This window comes from Homo sapiens, chromosome 8 (assembly GCF_000001405.40).
Source record: "Homo sapiens chromosome 8, GRCh38.p14 Primary Assembly".
In the NCBI taxonomy this organism is placed as follows: domain Eukaryota; kingdom Metazoa; phylum Chordata; class Mammalia; order Primates; family Hominidae; genus Homo; species Homo sapiens.
In genome coordinates, this window is record NC_000008.11 from 57,449,180 (window position 1) to 57,471,476 (window position 22,297).

Genomic DNA, 22,297 nt, shown 5'->3' on the forward strand with positions numbered 1-22,297 from the left:
CCCATGCATAAATGAGTTTGCATAGTGCATAATTAAGAGTTAATGCATTTTTTCCTTACATTTTCCAAAATTATAATAAAATTGTATAACATAGAATTTATCATCTAAGCCGTTTTTATGTGTATAGTTCAGCAGGGTTAACTGTATTCACATTGTTGTGCAACTGATCTCTAGAATTTTGTCATCTTGCAAAACTGAAACAACAACTTCCCAGTTCCCTTTCTTTCTAGGTTTTGTCTACCACTGTTCTTTCTTTTTGTGAGTTTGACTACTTTAAATACCTCATATAAGTGAAATCATATAGCTTTTGTCTTTTTGTGATTGACTTTTTCACTTAGTGTAATGCCCTTCACCTATGCTGTAACATTTGACAGCATTCCTTCTTTTCAAAGGCTGAATAATATTCCAGTGTATGTATATACTACATCTTAAAAATCCATTCATCTGTTAATAGACATTGGGTTGCTTCTACCTTTTGGTTAATATGAATAATGGGTCAGGGAACATGGGTGTGCAAATACCTTTCTGAGGCTCTGTTTTCAACTATTTGGGATCTGTATCCAGAAGTGTGATTGCTAGGCCAGGTGGTAATTTTATTTTTAATTTTTAATATTTTAGAAACCTTCATACTGTTTACAATAGCAGCTGCACCATTTTACATTCCCACCTACAATGAACAAGGGCTCTAAGAGCTAATTCATTTCTTAAGGCCTGTTGCTTGTGTCTTGTGACTAGGAATACATACATGACCACTTCCAAGATTACCCCAAGCCTGCCTGTGTCACCACTTCCAGCACATGAAAGTGTACCCTGTTATCTCAACAGCACAGCAGGCATTGGATCATGCTCTTGGAGAAGCAGAGAAATGGGAGCTTGTACTGGCATCCAGTAGGCCCCCAGGGGGCTGAATTGTGCTTTCTTTTTTCAAGGAACAGCTTTGTTCTCATTTGGAGGACCCGGAATATACAGCAATATCAACTCCGCCAAAGAGAGAGAGTCCCTGCTGTGTGCTCTGTTCCATGACAGGCATAAGAGTCACATTAGTGGCAGCTCACGTCATAATCAGGGATCTTAACAGTTGCCTCCAGATGTGCCCAGCTGGGTTACCCCCTGATTCTTCCATAATTGGACAAACATACTAACAAACTCAGATAGAGGTTTAATAAATAAGATTTTTCTTACAACTTTAGGTCTGTAAGAGTTCATCAATTTTGTCATCTAACTAGAGTTTTTTAAATGGGGCCTTGATCTGGGGAAATCCATGTCCAAGAAAGGTATTTCTAGAATGCCTTCCAGATACTTCTGACGGTTTACTACCTCCTTGACTTATGCAGCATTTTGGCCCCCATATTCTCCACCCCCAGTGCTGTGCCTGTGATGGTGCTACACTGCATGGCAAAGGGAGTTAAGGTTACAGATGGAAAGGCAGTTGTTAATCAGCTGATCTTATAATGGGAAGATTATCCTGGGTTGTCTGGGTGATGCTGATGTAAACATATGGACCTTTAATATTGGAAGAAGAAAGGCAGAAGGGTCAGTCAGAGAAATGCCAGGACAGAACAGGCAAGAGAGAGCTCAAGTGGGAGAAGGACTGGACCCACTGCTGTTGGCCTTGAAAATAATGTCAGGGGTCCACAGGCCATGAGTTGCAGGCTGCCTCCAGAAGCTGGGAATGGCCCTCAGCTGATCACTGGCAAGGACACAGGATCTTAGTCCTACAACATAAGGAAAGTGAATTCTGCCAACAGTTTCAAGGAGCAAGAGAACCGATTCTCCCCTAAATCCTCCACAAAGGAACACGGCCCTTCTGACACCTTAATTTTTGCTTATTGAGAGAACTGCAGGATTTCCAACCTACAGAACAGTAAAACAATTTTTTGCATTGTTTTAAGCTGATAAATTTGTGTCAATTTGTTACAGCAGCAATAGAAAATGATTACACGATTTTATCACAGTATTTTAGGAATTAAATGAGCCAGAGTTAGCAAAACACAGAGTCTGATCAATCGCAAGTGCTCAGTCATTTTTGTTACCATCATTGACAAAACACAACACAGCTGAATGTGCTCTAGGGAAGCCAGGCACAGAACAGGAGCCATGGGTTGTCTACCTGCAACCTGTCTCCTGCCAGGTGGGCACAGTTCTGGCATCGTGTTGTTGGTAGGACCTTGGCCAACTAGGGTGGAGCCTGAGGGGACCACCAAAGCCACAGAAACATCTGGAAATGATGCTCCATAAAAAATGGTGGGAGGAAGTTTATTTGCACAGCTTAAAATTGAGAATGCAGAGCAGTGAAGGGGCATGAATTCATTCTGAAATAAAATGGAAGTGTTAAACTTGTATTGCTCCAGAGAGTAGGATTGAATGAATCAGCAAAAGCTACAGACAGATAATTTTGCATTTGATCACACCCTTATATCTTGAGCATTTCACAAACTGAGTGGACTGCCTGGCAAGTCAGTGAGCGCCCAGTGCCTAGGAAAGTTCAGACAGGATCAGGAAGCAAGAACATGAGGAGGGGGCTCTGCCCAAAGGGACTGTGTCTGCGTCTCCTTTGGCCCGTTCCTACCTCCCAGTCCTACTCATTACAGGCATGCATGGGCAAAAACTGCACGCAGTTCACAGAGTAAAAGATGTCTCCAAGTGCGCACTCACAAATGTCATCAACATGAATACAAAAATGTTGAGAGTTTTGCTCTTTGGGCTTGATTACATTGACCATGTACATCTCTGTTGAGGTTATGTTACATATTGCAGGGAAAAAAAATTTCACAAAGAGGTGTTGGCTTTACAGTCAATTAATGCAAGCAAGGGTGTCGTCTTTATGGTCAATTAATGCAAGACACCTTTGTGGAGGTGGAAATGGATGAAATATTTTTTCTTTTCTTCTCAACAAAATTTTTTAGCTGAGTCGAGGCTCTCCAGACCTGATATATTATATCTTCTAATGGATTTATTATTATATTCATTGTGCTTATTAAAGGCCGGTGGACATTTGTGTCACTATAACTAATATATCCAAACCTTTGTCTAAGTACATTGACATTCTGCTGCTTTTAATAAATAAATTGTGATACTTTATCATGTTTGGTCAGAGTCTGTTCATCTCAATTGGATATATTTCTTAGCATCTAAAATGTTTTGATATTATTCTTTCATTGATATTACCAGAAAGTGTCAGTAGAATATTTGCACTAAAGTGCATTATATTTGCTACTTAGCTGACAGTAACTATTCAGTTGATTGTCAGAAGCACTTCAATTTTAGAGAAGCTAAAATATAAAATGGTTTATTCCTCGGGGTAAACAAAAGCTGTTATTAATATAAAATTATGTGTGAGTGTATGAACTAATAAATGTAGGATTTTTTAATTCAGAAGGAATGAAATTAAATATTTAGACAATCATCATTTGCAACAATCAATTAAATGACTAATTCAGGCAAGAATCAATAAAATGTATTAAAATCACTAGTGATAGCTATTAAACAGAATATTGGCAAGGTTCCCAGCAGAAGTTTCCACATAATCACAAAGAAGATGACCTTTACAGTGAATCTCTCTGGTGGGCACCAGTTTAGGACAATGATCCAATTCAGCTTTAAGAAGAGTGGGTCAACATGAAGGTATATATTTCATGATTCAGTGTGAAATACTCAACATTATTTATGCCGTATTTCTACCAAGACTAACTTACAGGAAATAAAATATAGAGAAACAATTCAAGTATACTATGAAGAAACATTTAGAAAAACTTAGAATGTTCTGTAAGACAGAGAACCTAGTCTCTTCATATTCACCATGAAAAGACAAAGGAGATGTTTTGTTTTTTGAAACAATTATTTTTTAAATTGACATGTAATAATTTTATAATTTATCAGGTATGATATGATGTTTCAATACATGTGTATATTGTGCAATGACCAGATCAGGATAATCTGCATATCCATCACTTCAAATGTTTATCACTTCTTAATAGTAAGAACATATAAAATTCTCTCTTCTAGCTGTTTTGAAATATATATAATACATTATTGTTAACTCTAGTCCCCCTACTGTGCAGTAGGACACCAGAACTTAAGCTTTATATGTCACTCTAACTTTGTACGCTTTGACCAGTCTTTCCCTATGCCTCCACCTCACCACATTTCCCAGCCTCTGGTAATAACTATTCTACTCACTACTTCTATGGGATCACCTTTTTGGATTCCACATTTGAGTGAGACCATGTGGTATGTGTCTTTCTGTGCCTGGCTGATTTCACTTGGCCTAATGTCCTCTAGGTTCATTCACGCTGTCACAAATGACAGGATTTCATTCTTTCTTATGGTTGAATAGTATTCTGTTTTTGTGTATATATATATATATATATATATATATATATATATATATATAAAACATTTTCTTTATACATTTATCTCTTGATGGACACTTAGGTTGATTCCATACCATGGCTATAGTGAATAGTGCCACAAAAAAAATGGGAGTGCAGAATCTCTTTTGCATACGAATTTCATTTTCTTTGGATAATACCCATAGTGAGACTGATGTGTCATTTTGTAGTTCCAGTTTTATTTTTTTGAGGAAACTTCATATAGTTTTTCATAATGGCTGTACGTGAGATTTTTAATTAAAAGAAAATAATTAAATGTAAGGTATAAGGTTCCTATTTTTAAGAATAATCTCTAAGAACTATTTCAGAATAATTAGGGAAATTGGAATATAGACTAGATATTAGACACCTTTAGAAAATAATTAATTAACTTAGATGTGAAATGGTACTAAGATTATACGGGAAAATGTCCTCAACTGGGGGAAATGATTGCTAATATATTAAGACTGAAATGTCATAGGGCTGCAATTCATTTTTAAATGATTTAGCAAAGATAACAAAAACACATATCTATAGATAAGTACATGAAATATTGCAAAATGTTAGTAATTATTGAATCAGGAGTAAGTATATAGGTGTTTATTGTACTATTCTTTCAAATTTTCAACTTTGAAAAATTTATAATACAAAGTTAAGAGGAAAGTAAATACTCAGATAATGACTGTTGATTCAAGAACATCTTATGAATCAATAAGCAACTTTTAAATGTCCAGAAAAATCCTGCCCCAAAGTGATGTGACTTAATAGAGTTATCGACCTAAGCAATATAAAGTCATTGAGCCAAGAGGATCTGGACAACTTCTCTTTTGGTGGCATTATAGGATAAACGAGCAAATGAATAAGACCCATTCTGACATGACAGCTCCCCATGAATCACAGCTCAGCTTGATATATCTCCATCTGATGTAGCCTCCTTGGTAAGAGGAGCCTATGGGAAGCTGGCTTTGCTCTGAAGACAGAAATGTGAATATGGGGAAGGGTATGGTAGAATGGCTTCAGGTTGGAAATAGGCTGAGCTGGTGCATTTCATGTTATAGATGTATCTTAGGATAGAACTCAAGACTCCTTGTCCAGAAAAGAGGTGAGACCTTGTGCAGTAGACCTCAATCCAGGAGGAACAATAATCACTGTGTTCTCTCTCAGCCACATAAATCAGGAGAAAAAGCCAACCCAGACATAAAGGAGTCTTTCTAGCAAGAGATGATGGGGGGGATGATCACCAGTTAAGTCTATTCATTGTTTATCCTATACCCATTACATGAATTTTTTAAAAAAACTATCTAATATTTAAAAGGTATTTACTTTCATTAAACCAAGCATGTGTGTTAGAAATAAGATAGAAGGGGCTGTAAATTATTGGTGTTGGCCCACAGAAATGATTTTGCAGAAGAAAGACACATAAATCTTCTTCGACTAGGCACAGGATCACAGGAACTTATAACCTTTGTGGGCAATCAGTGGAGGTGGAAACAAAACATTGTAGGCAGGGGTATCAGGATTTCTATGAAAGCAGAGTTTTTGTTTTCAGTGGTTTGGAGTGGATGAGGTGGGAAGATGTGGAGAAATGAGCCTGCTTGGGCCAGATCACACAGGACTTTGCACGTGTACAAATATAATAGTTCTTACACTGAAATCTTTGCATTTTCAATGAGAATTTCTGTAACTTGGTGTTTTAATGTTTATGGTAATCTAGAAAATGGGCATAAATATATTTGGAAACTTTTAGATGACTATCTGTATTAGTTACCATAGATTATTTGCCATAACAAGTAAGCTGTAAAATCTACAATGGTTCAAATGCAATAGAAGGATATTTCTTTATCATATAACAGCATTGGGTAGATGGACAGGTTGGAAGGACAAGCTTTCTCCATGCAGACATTCAGGGAACCAGGCTGTCAGAAGCTCTGTTAACTTTAGAAAGTTTATTCCAAGGTTTCCCTGAGTGCCTCTCCATTCCAGGGAAATAAAGAGCCCTGAGGATATCATATGAGAGGTATTTATGGTGGGTTCGGAAATAATGCACATCACTTCTCATATCCCATTGGCTAGAATTCAAACCCATGGCTATGTACTGGCTAACTGCAAGGGAGGATGGGAAATGTTGCCTGGCTGTGTGCTAATGGACAGGAGAAGAACTTGGATTTTGATAGCTTCTATATTACTTATAATTGTGTACAAATATTTACATTTATTGCCCTTGTTTACTTTTATGTTTATGAGCTTACTTGTTCAATGTCCCTCAACTGAAAGTGCATCTCAAAATGAGATTTATGAATTTGTACATTTGAGTTCTGTGTTCACTCTCAGCCACATATTATATGAAGTGAAAACAAGCATCTTCATGAAAGGGGTTGGTTGAAACCTTACTCAGAATTTTCTAAGATGAATCACAACCTGGCTTTGCCTACTCCTGGCACCAGCATTGTGGGTGAAAGGGAATGACAGAAAGGGAAATGACAGATCACTAAAAGTTCATTTTCCAGAAATAATCACTTTTTACTTGGGTTGGGAGATGTGCATGGATCTTCAGCTTGTTCACCTGCTTTGTTTTAAATATAAATAATAACACTACCTTGCAGTTGTAGGGGTTCAGTCAGTATGGTGGGAAAAATTGTAAAATAAACCTTGGAAGGCCAGAAGGTTTTTGCAAAAGCCTCATGATAGAGTTATGGCTGAAGGCAGCCTAATCCTCCTTGAGCTATAGCAAGGGTAATTAACATAAGAATGTAGAGGAGTCTATCTAAATAGCTTGTTTACTCATGTGGTCCTAAGACTAACCTTTGACCATCCCTGGGTGCATGATTGCTCTCTACTCAGGGTGTCGTAATGGTAATTACCTTCTAGTGGTGTTTACTTGAGATATTTGTCATTTAATGTGTGCTGAATAAATGCCGGGAAGGCCAGTGAGTCGGGACGTGGTTGCTGCTCTTTACAGTACTCTCCTGGTAGTCTGTAAGTGGCCCGACTCTCAGCTGGACTGACAAGCATAATATCTGTGTCAGTGTACGTTATTCATCTGTTGTTGGGTCAGGGTCTGTGGGACGGATCCCTGCAGCTAGTGCCCCATGTGAGGAACACAGCAAAGGAAGCACGACGGACCCCCCCAAAAACAGAGGTGAAAAGGACTGCGTGGTCAGTGAGTAATCAGTAAGTCATTGGTGCCCACTCAGGATCTCCAAGTCTGGGGGGAATTGTTCAGGCTGAGGTTTCATCATGGGGCAACAGTTATCAGCTCAATGGAAACAATATATAAAAGTGTTGAAACAGTTGCTTAAAGCTAGTGGAGCCTCAGTTTCGCAGGCTTAATTAAGGGACCTACTGCAAATTGTTGTAAACCATAATCCATGGTTCTCAAAAGAAGGAATGATGACATAGAGCTCTGGGAACAAGTTGGGAGAAATCTTACACAACATTATGCACAAGGGCAACAGGTCCCAGTAACAGCTCTAACACTATGGGCTTTAATTAAGGTGGCCCTGGCTCCATTATGCACAGAAAAGCCTAAAAAGGGAAAGGAGGAGGAACCACCACTTGCCTTACTGCCTCCTCTTCCCTCAGCCCAGATATCACTGGGCCAAAATAACAAAGAGGAAACAGAAGTTTTGCCTGAGCCCCCTCATCCAATAAGTAGGAAAAAAGACAAGAAACATGCTCCAGCTATAAAACCTTGTCTTAAGCAAGCGGCATCAACAGGGGAGCTCTTAGCCTGCCTGGTAATGCAAGATTGGCAGGACAATCAAGTATACAAACCCATTTCTTTTAATGCTTATAAAACGATGAGAAAAAGCATTAGAGGCCTGAGCAACGTGGTCAAGTGAGCAGTAAGCAAAAGGGAAAGCTCAGCAGCAGGGAAGCTTGCAAACCCCGAGCCAGCAAATGCTCCTGGGAACTTGGCCTTCATGGTGGTGGCAGGGGCAACAGGGAGCCAGTTCCAGGGTGCTGGAGCTGGCCTGCTAGGGAGGGGCTGGAGGTGCTGGCAAAAAGGTCCACCCAGCTGGCAGCAACCACCCAGCAGTTGGGGGAGGGAGTGGCACAGAAAGAAGCCAGCACCAACAAAAAGCAGCAGCGCCTAAGCAAATGCAAAGCAGCTGCCACCCTGGGACCCACCTGCTCAGCTCTCCAGCTCCTCAGTGGCTCACAGCAAAATTTCATGTCTTCCTTGTATACAAGATACATACTAAATTATAATTATCTGCACCATTTAAGTAAAATTTAAGAATTTAAAAGACCTCTGATAATGGCCACTGTTGTTATCTCTCTCCTACCCTCTCCAACATGACTCTCTCCAAATCCAACTTAAGTAAAAGAGTAACCTCTCAAAGGAGAGAAATTACAGAAAGCCCATAATTGTGGCAATTCCTCAAGATTGGCCTATAATCATTACTGCCTTAAAAGACTGGTTTTATACTATTCTCCTAGCAGAAGAAGACAGAGAAAATTTTGCCTTTACAATACTAGCTATCAATAATGAAAAGCCAGCTTGTCAATTTCATTGGAAAGTGCTCCCTCAAGGCATGCTGAATAGTCCTACCATGTGTCAGTATCTTGTAAATCAAGCTTTGCTCCCCAGTAGAAAAGAATTTCCTGATTGCAAGATTATTCATTTTATGGATGATATTCTACTAGTAGCCCCAACAGAGCCAATACTTTTAAATTTATACACCCCTGTCATAAAGAATACACAGCTAAAAGGTTTAATCATTGTACCTGAGAAAGTACAAATGTCTTCTCCTTAGAGATATCTTGGGTACATACTAACTTCCCAGTCAGTAAGACCTCAAAAGGTTAAATTAAATACTAGCAACTTACACACCTTAAATGATTATCAGAAATTACTAGGTGATATTACTTGGCTCTGCCTCACTTTAGGCATATCTACTGATAAGCCGTAAAATCTGTTTTCTATCTTAAAGGGCAATACAGCCCTGGATTCTCCCAGATATTTAACCCCTGTGGCAAAAAGGAAATTGAGGAAATAGAGCAAGCCATCTCTCAGAGGCAGCTAAATCGCATTGATCCACGGTATTCAATTCAATTGTTTTTTTTTTTTTTTTTTCCCACCAAACAGTCCCCTACAGGATTAATAGGACACATGGCCCCCAGGCTACGCTTCCTAGAATGGGCTTTTTGCTCACATGCTGGGACTAAAACACTAACTCCCTATATTCAGTTAATTACTAAAGTCATCTATTCAGGCCACAAACGATGCAATCAGTTTATAGATTATGACCCTGATGTCATCAGGATTCCTTTAAGTAAAAAGCAATTCGAAGCAGTATTGCCAGTATCTATCAATCTGCAAATAGCTTTCTCTGATACACAGGACAAATAGAGCATGTCCTCCCTGCTGATAAACTCCTTCATTTCTTATCCTATCTCATACTCCAATAATCTTGCCCACAAAAAATAGTTCACTCCCCCATACCTAATGCTTTAACACTGTTTGCTGATGGTTCTGGTAAACATGGAAAAGGGCAGTCTGCTGGAGACCACATAATTCAATCACTTGATCTGGGTTTACTAGCACTCAGAGAGCTGAGACTGGGGCCCTGATATTGGCCTTGGAAGCTTTTTTCACTCTGCCCATAAATATTGTGATTGAATTGGCTTACTCTGTTTATTTATTGCAGAACCTTGAAACAGCCTTAATTAAGTCTACTCTGGAGTCCACCCTGTGTGCTCTTTTTCTTCGACTTCAGTAATTGCTAGATCAACATATACATCCTATTTTTATCACACACACTGGAGCCCACAGCTCTCTGCCTGGCCCATTGGCTTATGGCAATGAACAAGCAGACCTTCAGGTTATGACATCACTGCTTGACCAAGCCACTCAATCGCATCAATTTTTCCACCAAAACTGCAGAAACTTATCTAAACAATTTCGACTTACCCAGAGACTGGCTAAACAAATTATCCTACAATGCCCAGATTGCCAGCTCACAGGCACATCCCCTCCTTCCATAGGTGTTATCCCTAGAGGACCAGAACCTAATCAGTTATGACAAACAGATGTTACACACATCCCTAAATTTAGAAAACTTAGGTATATACATGTATCCATTAATATCAATTCTCACTTAATTAGTGCCCATGCTTTGCCTGGAGAATCAACCCGATAAGTCATTAAACATCTTTTAACTTTTGCATTTATGGGGCGGGCCACAAAAATTAAAACTGATAATGATCCAGCTTATGCCAGCTCACAATTTCAATAATTTTGTCACACATAGCATATCCAACATTCCACAGGCACCCTATATAACCCCCAAGGACAGGCCATAGTAGAACATGCCCACTCCACCCTTAAAAATATGCTCAAAAACCAGAAAAGGGGGAGTATGGGTAAAGACCCTGCAACACTATTGGCACAAGCCTTTTTTACCCTTAATTTTTTAAATTTAGATGACAAATTTCAATCATCTTTAGAAAAGCACTTTGCTAAAACCTCTGAAGGCATAAAACCTACACCCCCTTAGGTCCTCTTTGGATTCCAGCATGATGCATCAAACCATACCATGGCATGGCTGGGACCCAACCCAGTACCAGAGATGAAGGAACTGACCCTACAGGACCTGCAGGCCCAGACAATGTGGCTTCCATGGATGACACAAGCCCCAGACATTACCTGGGGGATGCTGAAGAGGTCAACTCAGGAGGCTGAACAAATCCTGCTCTGGACACAGACACCATTTACTCCATATAATTTGTTCTTTGCTATGCTTTCTGTTGTACATTGCAACCCATGTAGGGTATTGATCCTTTTTATGCTCTTGCTTTGTCTGCAACTGTACCTGCTACACTCTACTGGGCTCATATCTTAGATCTGCCTTTCTTTCACACTGTCACCTGGGCAGACACCCCTTTCCCAGCCTATAATAATGTAACTGCTTGGCTGGGAGGGATAGATTTACCCCCAGTGGGGTCTGTCATTAATGGCACACATTGGATTAACGTGCCAGGTAACACTGCATATCAATTCACTATCCTCCCACTGTGTGTAATTTATAAAGGTTCTAACCCTTACTGTGTATCTTCCCAAACACAATTATGGCTACATCATGGCAAAGGAAATGACTTAACAGCCTTAGCTGCATGTAGCCTCAAACCAGGTAATGCAATCAATGCCGCTTTCCCAAACAATCATTCCTGTGCCAAAGAACAAAGCCTGGGAAGTAACAGGTTTCACGTTAGCTGGGAGGTCTGTCACAGGGGACAAGCCCATAGCCTCCAGTTAGACAATTATAACATCTTAGACTAGAGCCTGCATGGCCATTTGCAGGGCAGCCTTACTAATGTCCTCATCCGTCGTGGCATCAATCACAGTTTTGTAGCCACATCCCGTTCCCCTATGATTTGGGCCAATGGGGGGATGGGATATCCCAAACCCAAAGTAAAATCCATGCCACTTGAAGATGCCTAGGTGCCTAGGACATCTTGGCACCTCCCTTGACACGTGGCATGGGACATATCATAATTCCACTAACAACTATACTATAACCATTATTCATAATCACACGGATCAGTGCCTAATTTGCACTACCCATCCGTATGTTTTCCTTATGGGAACCAATATTTCTATTTCACCCCAAAACTCTGCCTTTGTGACACAGGTGCAGTGACAGGCTTGGTTTGCCTCATGTATCACTAATTACAATATATCTGATCTAAATATTACTAGTGTCATGGTATTAAGGAGAAAATCTGAGGCATTCCTATCAGTCAATTTGACATGTGATTGGCAAGGTTCCTCTGCCCTTGCCACCTAAGAACGTGCCCTGTCCCAGGTCAGACATAAAAGATTCATAGTTACACTTATGGCCTTTATAGTCTCAGCCATAGTCATCCTGACAACGGCTAGTGTTGCTGTTGCACCTACTACTGAGTCAGTACAAACAGCTGCCTTTGTAGATAATCTGGTCAAAAATGTGTCTAAATGGGAAAGAGGGCATGCATGTGTTCACACCCTCTTAGGTCCTCTTTGGATTCCAGCATGACACATCAAACCATACCATGGTGTGTCTGGGACCCAACCCGGTACCAGAGATGAAGGAACTGACCCTACAGGACAAGCAGGGACCTACAAATGCCGTAGATAGATAGCAGGGTATAGATCAAAAAATTCTTGCACGTCTGCAAGCTCTCGAGGCTGCTTTGGAATATGCTGGGGAGCGACAAGATGCACTGGCATTCTGACAGCAATTAAACTGCAACTGGGAGCATAAACATATCTGTGTCACTTCTCTACCATGGAATCAATCAATACATAATCAGGATGACGTGAAACAACACCTCTAGGAAAACTTCCATGACAATTTAACAGCAGATGTAAAGCAACTTAAAACTAAAATTTTAGAATCCCTTCACACTATAGATCTACACACCCAAAAAACAGCCATATGGAAGGGTGTGCAAGATCATCTCTCCTGGTTAGATCCCTACTCCTGGCGGGGGGGGTCATTCTTTGACTGGAAAAAATGTTGCTAATTGTTGGAGGTTGCACAAATGTTCCTTATGATTAGGCATAATTGAAGCCTGTCAGTAACAATATGAACCTGTGATCAATTAAGCAACTGGCCAATCATTACCTCCTCCTGCCTACTCATTCTACCTAATAAATACAAAGGGCTGTAGAAGCTCAGGGGCTGCCTTTGCTCTCTAGAAGCAGGGAGCTCTCTTCTTCTCCCCATGTTAACTTTTCTTTAAAACGGTTTCTTTTTTCCTTGGTTTTCATTTCTAAGTTCATCCATTCTTTAGTCATAATGAGAGAAGAGAGACAGATGCTCTCATATGGTTTTATATTGTTTTATACTCAGAAAAGAAAAGCAAAACAAAAGGCATGCAGCCCGGTGCCTAGGAACCAGACCCAAAACCAGGCCTGGGCCTGCCTGACCTAAGCCTGGTAGTTAAAGATCGACCCCTGACCTAACCGGTTATGTTATCTATAGATTCCAGATATTGTATAGAAAAGACATTGTGAAACTTCCTGGCCTGTTCTGTTTCACTGTGACCACTGGTGCATGCAGCCCTTGTCACGTACCTCCTGCTTGCTCAATCGATCATGACCCTCTCATGTGGACCCCCTTAGAGTTGTGAGCCCTTAAAAGGGACAGGAATTGCTCACTCAGGGAGCTCAGCTCTTGAGACAGAAGTCTTGCTCAATGCTCCTGGCTGAATAAACCATTTCCTTCTTTAACTCAGTGTCTGAGGAGTTTTGTCTGCGGCTCGTCCTGCTACATTTCTTGGTTCCCTGACCGGGAAGCGAGGTGATTGGCAGATGGTCGAGGCAGCTCCTTAGGCGGCTAAAGCCTGCCCTGTGGAACATCCCTGCAGGGGACTCTGACCAGCCTGAGCGACGTGGATCCTGAGAGCGCTTCTGGGTAGGCATTTGCCCCAGTGGGATGCCTCACCAGAGCAGTGTGTGGAAGGCCCCCATGGAGTCTCAACACGGTGGCTGAACACCGGGAAGGAACTGGTATTTGGAGTCCGGACATCTGAAACTTGGTAAGACTAGTCTTTAGAACTTGCCTACTCTGAGTGGAAGCATGGCCTGATCAACCACAGCATGCCTTTATCAGCACTTTGGTTTGGTTTTGGTTTTAGTTTTGACTTGGTTTGAATTGCTTGACAGGACTGGTCTTGGAACTTGCCCACTCCATTTGAGTGGAAGTGTGGCCTGATCACCCATGGCGTGCCTTTATCAGCACTTTGGTTTTGGTTTTGATTTTGACTTGGTTTGAATTGCTTGACAGGACTGGTCTTGGGAACTTGCCCACTCCATTTGAGTGTAAGCATGGCCTGATCACCCATGGTATGACTGTACCGGCACTTTGGTTTTTGTTTTTGACTTGACTTGGATTGCTTAATACTTTGGTTTTGGTTTTGACCTGGCTTGGATTTCTGGATACTCTGATTTTGGTTTTGATTTTGGTTTGGTGTAAACTGCAAAAGTGTGTGTGTGCCCTTTTTATCCGTTCTTTGTTTTGTGGTGTGCGTGTGGTGTGAGCGTGATGTTTTGTCTTAAAGAAGCATAGGTCAGGCACAAATAATGGTCAGTGCCCTAGAGGTACAAAGAATGGGAAGTTTTTGAATCAGGGTAACACAAGGAAGGGTTTGATTATTTCTTTTCTCTTTTTTGTTTGGAGTTTGGTACATACCATTTTTTTATTTCAGGGTTTATGAAAATTTTTTGCCCTACCTACAGCACTTATTGAGGGTGGTGAACAGGAGAGGGAGGATGAAAATTGGCTTGTATCATCTTTTTTGGCTACAGAAAGGCCAACTTTAGCTTTGGCTTTCGTGGATTGTAAACGTGCACTGGCACCTGTGAGATGTACAGAGAACTTGGAAGGTTTTTTCAAAGCTTGTCAAGATGTGGGAACTGAGCTTCAATGTTCTGCAGTATTGACTCAGGCAATGGCTAATTTGGTAACTGACAGATCTAAAAGAAGCCAAGGGTTAAGCCCTAAAGTGGGAAAATGTTATAAGTGTAGAAAAAGTGGATGTTTGAATGCTGTCAGACCTCTGGGTAGAAGGGATCTTATAACACAGTTCCTCTTTCAACAGAAAAAATGCCAGGACTTTGCCCTTGTTGCAATAAAGGAAATCATTGAGCTAATCAATGCCACTCAAAATATCATCAAAATGGCACACCCCTGTCTGGAAACGAGAAGGGGGCCTGGACCTGAGCACCTCAAACTATGAGGGCATTCACTGTCCAGGCCACAACTCCATTTCAGGGATGGGTTTCTGGAGGCATATTGATTCCCTCTTCCCAGGAATACCTAGAAGCTCAGGATTAGATCTCCCAGTTAGAGAACAGGCTATGTTAATTGGAAGAAAAAACTCACCAAGATTCACAGTGGTATTTAGAGACCTTTGCCAACAGGATACATGGGATTAATTTTGGGCAAAAGCTGTCTTAACATACAGGCCCGGGAGTTGTTGATTTTGATTGGGAAGTAGAAATTCGGGTAGTGGTAATGTCACAAGATCTTTGGGTTTTTGAACCGGGAGAATATGTTGCTCAAGTATTGCTTGTTCCCTGTAAATTGTACCCTTTTCTACATAAGAAGTAGTGAGGAGGTCAGGGATTTGGAAGTACAAATAGGAGATTTATCCATCACAACCCATAGCATCTCATAGACTCACTTGTGCAGTGTATATTGAAGAAAAGTTTTGTGGGCTTATAGATACAGGAGCAAGAGATTGGTCTCTCATGGTAATAGATCTTGAGGATTGTTTGCAAGAAGGATAAGCCTCGATTTGCTTTTTTTGTGTCTGCTGTTAATCAGAAAGAGCCTGTTTCTCATTACTGGTGGAAAGTTTTACCCCATGGTAATTAACCAAAGAGGCAGAAACTGAGTTACAGCTCATAGAACAAATGCTCAGCAATGGCATGCCTCCTGGCTACAGCCGCAAGAGCCTTTTCCTTTTTTTCAGTAGATTTACTAACGTGGGGATGAGGGTATGCTTGTGTTTTTGCAGGAGATGAACAAGCCATGTGGGTGCCCTCAAGATGTTTGCAACCATGGAGACTGGAGGGACCCATGGATTCCAAATATAGGCCTTGTTACCCCAGTACGAGCCATGAGCCAGTTGAATCTGAATGTGAAGACAGAACGAGGACAGACTGGAGTCATGTTGACATCAACCCCCATAACATGGGGACAGATCAAGAAAACCACACAGGAAGCTGAGCAACTGCTGGAATGCCAGGGTTTCACCTTTTGCTGGAACTCATATAATCAATGCTTAAGAGACCAATGCTTTCTGAGTTCCTCTCTACCCTGAATACAAGAGACATTAATAGCTATGTGGAAATATCATCACCCCTATTCAGCATGAAGAAGTTGCAGTAGACAGACCTTCATCCTTCTGCAACCCTTAGGATTAAGGATCTTGTTGTAAAAGGGAAAGGGGAAATATGTAAGAAGCATTCAAACCAGAGTGACACCATTTTGAATAAGGGCTAAGAAAAATGAAGCTGGATCACAAACTGGCAATTAAGGGCTGCACAGTCTGCAATTGCCTTGCCCAATTAATTTAAAAACAAAGGAGATGTTGGAGGCTACACAAATGTTTCTTATGATTAGGCATAATTAAAGCCTGTCAGTAATAATATGAACCTGTGATCAATTAAGCAACTGACCAATTGTTACCTCCTCCTGCTGGTTCATTCTACCCAATAAATACAAAGGGCAATAGAAGCTTATGGGCTGCCTTTGCTCTCTAGAAGCAGGGAGCTCTCTTCTCCCCATGTTACCTTTCCCTTAAAACAGTTTTTTTTTCCTTGGTTTTCATTTCTACATTTGTCCATTCATTCAGTCGTAATGATGGTCTCAAGTGGTAACAGTAGTAACTTCTGTAATTACGGTCTTAAGCAGTAACAGTAGTAGCTGCTGTAATGACAGTCTCAAGTAGTAACTGTGGTAGTCAGCCAGAGCTAATTATACTCATGATTGTCTTACATTATTTGCTAATTCTAGGATGCAAAGCCAGAATAAGAGCAATGACCACCATGCCTGACAAACCTGTTACTGCATACATCTGTGCTCTCCAATCAATAAGGCCGATGCGGAAAGCAGAAAAGGGGGAGATGGAGGTGTTCAGTCAGCATGGTGGGAAAAATTGTAAAATAAACCTTCCTGGAAGGACAGAAGGTTTTTGCAAAAGCCTTAGGATAGAGTTATGGCTGAAGGCAGCCTAATCCTCTTTGAGCTATAGCAAGGGTAAGTAACAAAGGAATGTAGAGGAGTCTATCTAAATAGCTTGTTTACTCATGTGGACCTATGACTAACCTTTGACCATCTGCAGGTGCATTATTGCTCTCTACTCAGGGGATCGGCAATGGTAATTTGCTTCTAGTGGTGTTTACTTGAGACTTCTGTTATTTAATGTGTGCTGAATAAATGCCGGGAAGGCCAGCTAGTTGGGGCCGTGGTTGCAACTCTTTACAGCATTCTCCTGGGAGTCTGTAAGTGGCCCAGGTTCTCAGCTGGACTGACAAGCATAATATCTATGTCAGTGTACGTTATTCATCCGTTGTTGGGTCAGGGTATGCAGGAGATGGATCCCGTGTAGTGTTGGCCAATCATTTTATATCTAATATAACATGCATTATAAAATGTATAATTTAACATCTTAACAATTCCATCACCTTGCATTTGTTGTGACATGTTATAATTTACAAAGTATTCTTTAAAACATTTATTACCTAATTTAATTTCAAAGTAATCTAATAGGATTGAAATTTTTACTCCATTTGATAACAAGGAAACTGAGCTTTTGACATTTGGCTAATCACTTATTCAATAAATACCTAAATAACTCTTTTGTATTGCAGAAGCAATAGCTGGTCAGTGTTTTTATAATACTGTTATTTTGAGGAGACAAATAATGTCTTCCTAGTGCTCTGTAATCACACCATTACTCAGCTTCTCACCTCTTTTTTTTTGCACCTGTGTGTAATTTCTGGCTAGATTTTGTCTACGGCACAGCATGATTAAGCAGCTTGGAAGTGCTTCAATGACAATTTGAAGGTGGTGTTTAAAAAGTTTGGAATTATCTTTTTGGTTCTCTGCATTTGCTAGGTATACACAATTCCTCCCTCAGTGTCCATCTTCATTCAACAATTACAGATAATTCATTTAGTGCTTTGCTTTTAAATATGATTTGGAATTTATTCTTTTACAGCTTTAACTATGTACACAGATTTTTTTGATAGACACTAATAGCAATATTTGTTGCAAAGGAACTTTGTAAATAGTTTGCCTTTTCTCTTTGCAAATCAGAGGAATTTGTGTCTGTCAATGAGAAGGCATTGTGGACACTAAAGAGATGTGACTGAAAAATGTGTTAGGTGGAAAAAAGAGTACTGCTACAGAAAAGTATGAAAATACATTTATATGCTTTTAGAAACAGCTGTGTTTTGATCATTTATTCACATCTTAGCAAAGGCAATTATATTGCAAAATGAAAATGTGATTTTTCATTTTGAAATATAATTATAGCTCATGGAGAAATCTGGAGGAATGTTTATTTTGAGGCTCGTCCCTATAGGTATTAAATGATAATGGTGGTTATTAGTTATGAAAGAGAACTGAAGACTCAACCACTCTGCCATAGCACTGAGTCAGATGGTGCTCATTTTGTGTGATGGACAATTGTTTCTCATGCAAAAGAGACAAAAATATTCAGTAATAGTTCCTGAGAAGAAGCTATGCAATGGGAACTGAAAACTGACAACGTCCATCAATAGTAGAGCTTATTTGAGATGAATTTAAAACATTTACTTTCCAAAATAACATCAGCATATTGTTTTCAGTCAATTTGCTTACTTGTTTTACCCTCATATTGGAATGTAATTGAATCACAGATCAGGGAATGTCAAAGATGGCACAAGTTCTTGCAATTTTGCATTCCTCTTTCCATAAAAACAGTAAACCATTAGAATTCAGTTTATATACATAATTTCACCCTAAGAAAGGAGACTTCTAAGAATATTCTCAGGGACACCTGCCCCATACATATTCTTGTATTTATTTGTAGCATGGATTCACAGAACATGTCAGCTAAAGCTGGACCAAAGAGATAGTCTAATGCAATTCTATTGTTTTAGAGTAAAAGAGGGAGAAGGAGAAGGAGGAGGCTGAGGAGAGGAACTGGAGAATGTAGTGGAAGGAGAGGGGACAAGGGAAAGAGCCCGGGAGAAGAGGGGAAGGGGACAGAGGAGGAGAGAAAGGAGGGGAGAAGGAGAGGCACAAAGAAGCAAATAGGTGATTTTGTCCAAAGGAAACAAAGCAAATAGCAGCAACTAAACTAGAATTTAGGGTCTGTAACTCCTCATTTTTGTCCTTTCCATGGCCTGGCAGAATATCACAATAGTGAAAATCCTTACTTCTAAACTGTGGCACAGTTCACTGTTTACTAGGTGTATGACCTTGGGTAGATTCCTAAGTCTATCTACTTCAATTCCCTTACCTATAAAATGGGAGTATTCTAGTATCTACATCATGAGATTGTTGAAAGGATTATATGAAATAGCATGTGTACTACACTTAGTAGAATGCATTTGTTTGTATCTTTGTGTGGGTGCAAGTGTGTGTGTTCACTGGAGGTTTTGTAATTTTTTCATTACTGTTGTTTCTGGTGTGCTGGTTCACTTGACTCATAGTTCACATTACAAATGTGAGGGTTCATTCCTCTATTTTTCCAGTCTCATCTTTGATCAGAGGTGATGCCTGGAGTTGGCTTCCAAGTGAGAGTCCTCAGAGCAACTGTTGAGAATTTAAGTTAAAAATAAATTATCAAATAATGAATTTGATCACTGGTTGACCTGAATATGTATAATACAACCTGTTGAACTCTGATAAAGTCAGAGTGATTATTGTTGAATGTGAACTTGCTTTTGAATAACAGACACAGTTAACGATACTTGCAAACTGTATCATCAGTACCACCCCAGGGGGTTACAAGGTTGACCCCACTCGTATCTGGAGATTAAGTTCATTATTTCTGATATTTGTCACTCAGGGATGCCTATCTTAGCTGATTACATGAAAGAACTTTCCAATAGACCTACTCTAAAGGAATGGTCTGGCTCAGGGAAGCAAGTCCCAGCTGGAGTCCAAGAACAGAGTCTGAGTGATTCACATGGAAAGACTGGAGCAGCCAGGACTGGAATGTGGAATGGGTGGGCCAATATGCAGACACTGAAGTTCTTTCTCGAAGTGAGCTTTTAGGTCTGGAATTCTTGAATTAAAACTATTAAAGTGAGGAAACTTTCCTTCTGCATTTCCTTAGCATATGTGGGATTATGTTACTTTGTTACAATGAGCAAATAGAAGCACACACACACACACAACCTTTTTTAGAGCACTTTTAGGTTCAGAGCAAAACTGAGAGAAAATATAGTGATTTCCTTATGTGCCCTGCGTAACTCCCACATATAGCCTTCCCGATTAGGAACATACCCCATCAGAGTGGAAAATCTTTGAAAAGTAATGAAACTACAGTGGTACATCATAATCATCCAAAGTCCACAGTTTTTCATTAGCGTTCACTCTTGCCGTTGTACATTCTGTGAGTTGAACAAATGTTTAACAACACATATCCATCATTAGCATCATACAGAGTATTTTCCCTGCCTTAAAAATCCTCTACATATCCATTCCTCCCACCTCCACACCCCAGTCTGACAACACTTTTTTTTTTTTAACTGTCTACATGGCTTTTCCCTTTTCCTGAAAGTCATATAGTTGGGATCATATAGTATGTGGCCTTTTCAGATTGGCTTCTTTCACTTAGTAATATGCATTTAAGGTTCTTTTATGTATTTTCATGGCTTAATAACTAATTTCTTTTAATGCTGAATAATATTCCATTGTCTGGATATACCAGTTGATTTATCCATTCATCTGCTGAAGAACATCTTGATTGATTCCAAGTTTCAGCAATTACAAATAGGCCTACTTTCAACATCCATGTGTAGTTTTTTTGTGTGTGTACATAATTCAACTCCTTTGGGTAAATATTAAGGAGCATGATTGCTAGATTGTATGGTAAGAATATGTTTAGTTTTGTAAGAAACCACTAAAATGTCCTAAAAAGTGGCTGAACCCACTTTGCATTCCCACCAGCAATAAATTACAGTTTCTGTTGTTCCCTATCCTCACCATCATTTGGTGTTATCAATGTTATGTTATGAATTTTGGCCCTCTGATAGATGTCAGTAGTATCTCACTTTTACTTTAATTTGCATTTCCCTGAGATAGATGTACGACATTTTTTCATGTGCTAGTTTTCTATCTGTAGATCTTTGGTGGGGTATCTGTTAAGGTTTTTGGCTCACTTTCTAATCTGCTTACTTATTGTTGAGTTTTTAGAGTTTTGGGACTTTAGAGTTTTGTATATTTGGGATAACACTTCCTTACCTGATACGTCTCTTGCAAAAAATATTTTCTCCCGGTCTGTGGCTTGTCTTCTCATTCTCTTGATATTGTCTTTTTCAGAGTAGAAGTTTTAAATATTAATGAAGCTCAGATTATCATTTCTTTTGTGAATAGTGCCTTTGGTATTATATCTAAGAGTCATTGCTATACCTAAGATATTTAGGTTTTCTCCTATGTTATAGTGTAGAAATGTTATAGTTTTGTGCCTAAAATTTAGGAATAAAATCTATTTTGAGTGAAATTTTGTAAGGGTATAAGGTCGACGTCTAGATTTATCATTAGTATTATTATTTTGCATGTGGATGTCCAGTTGTTCCAGCAGTATTTGTTGAAAAGACTGTCTTTGAGACACTATATTGCCTTGGCTCCTTTATCAAAGATCAGTTGATTGTATGTGTATGCATCCACTTATGGACTCTATTCAGCTCTATTGATCTTTTTTTCTATTTTTTAGCTATATTATGCTCACTTGATTACTATAGCTTTATACTAAGTCTTGAGATTGGGTAGTGTATTAGTCTGTTTCCACACTGCTAATAAAGACATACTTGAGACTGAGTAAGTATAAAGGAAAGAGATTCAATTGACTCACAGTTTCACATGGCTGGGGAGGCCTCACAATCATGGCAGAAGGCAAGGAAGAGCAAATCACATCTTACATGGTGTCAGGGAAGACAGACCTTGTGCAGGGGAACTCCTTTTTATAAAACTATCAGATCTTGTAAGACTAATTCACTGTCACCAGAACAGCATGGGAAAGAGCTCCCCCCATGATTCAACTACCTCCCACTGGGTCCTTCCCACAACAGGTGGGAATTGTGGGAGCTACAATTCAACATGAGATTTTGGTGGGGACACAGCCAAACCATATCAGGTAGTGTCAATCTCTCAACTTGGTTCTTCTGCATCAATATTCTGTTGGCTATTCTGAGTCTTTTGCTTCTCCACATA

General features: G+C 39.8%; 1 long non-coding RNA gene across 1 annotated transcript in view, besides 3 other annotated features; it reads left to right on the plus strand.

Moving 5' to 3' along the window:
• Positions 6,903 to 7,481: an enhancer, noted in NCBI's record as "OCT4-NANOG hESC enhancer chr8:58368641-58369219 (GRCh37/hg19 assembly coordinates)". NCBI's record gives its function as "activates a minimal SCP1, AML or CMV promoter by ChIP-STARR-seq in primed H9 embryonic stem cells {active_cell/tissue: H9 hESC(primed)}" and the evidence as "EXISTENCE:reporter gene assay evidence [ECO:0000049][PMID:30033119]".
• Positions 13,309 to 13,358: an enhancer, noted in NCBI's record as "active region_27404". NCBI's record gives its function as "activates an Ori minimal core promoter by ATAC-STARR-seq in GM12878 lymphoblastoid cells {active_cell/tissue: GM12878}" and the evidence as "EXISTENCE:reporter gene assay evidence [ECO:0000049][PMID:35858748]".
• LOC105375855 (uncharacterized) overlaps positions 13,524 to 22,297 on the plus strand; it is an 88,963-nt gene continuing 80,189 nt past the window's right edge. The window contains exon 1 of the long non-coding RNA XR_928920.3: positions 13,524 to 13,898. This is a non-coding gene — a long non-coding RNA (uncharacterized LOC105375855). The remainder of the gene's footprint in view (positions 13,899 to 22,297) is intronic.
• Positions 19,554 to 20,197: an enhancer, noted in NCBI's record as "NANOG hESC enhancer chr8:58381292-58381935 (GRCh37/hg19 assembly coordinates)". NCBI's record gives its function as "activates a minimal SCP1, AML or CMV promoter by ChIP-STARR-seq in primed H9 embryonic stem cells {active_cell/tissue: H9 hESC(primed)}" and the evidence as "EXISTENCE:reporter gene assay evidence [ECO:0000049][PMID:30033119]".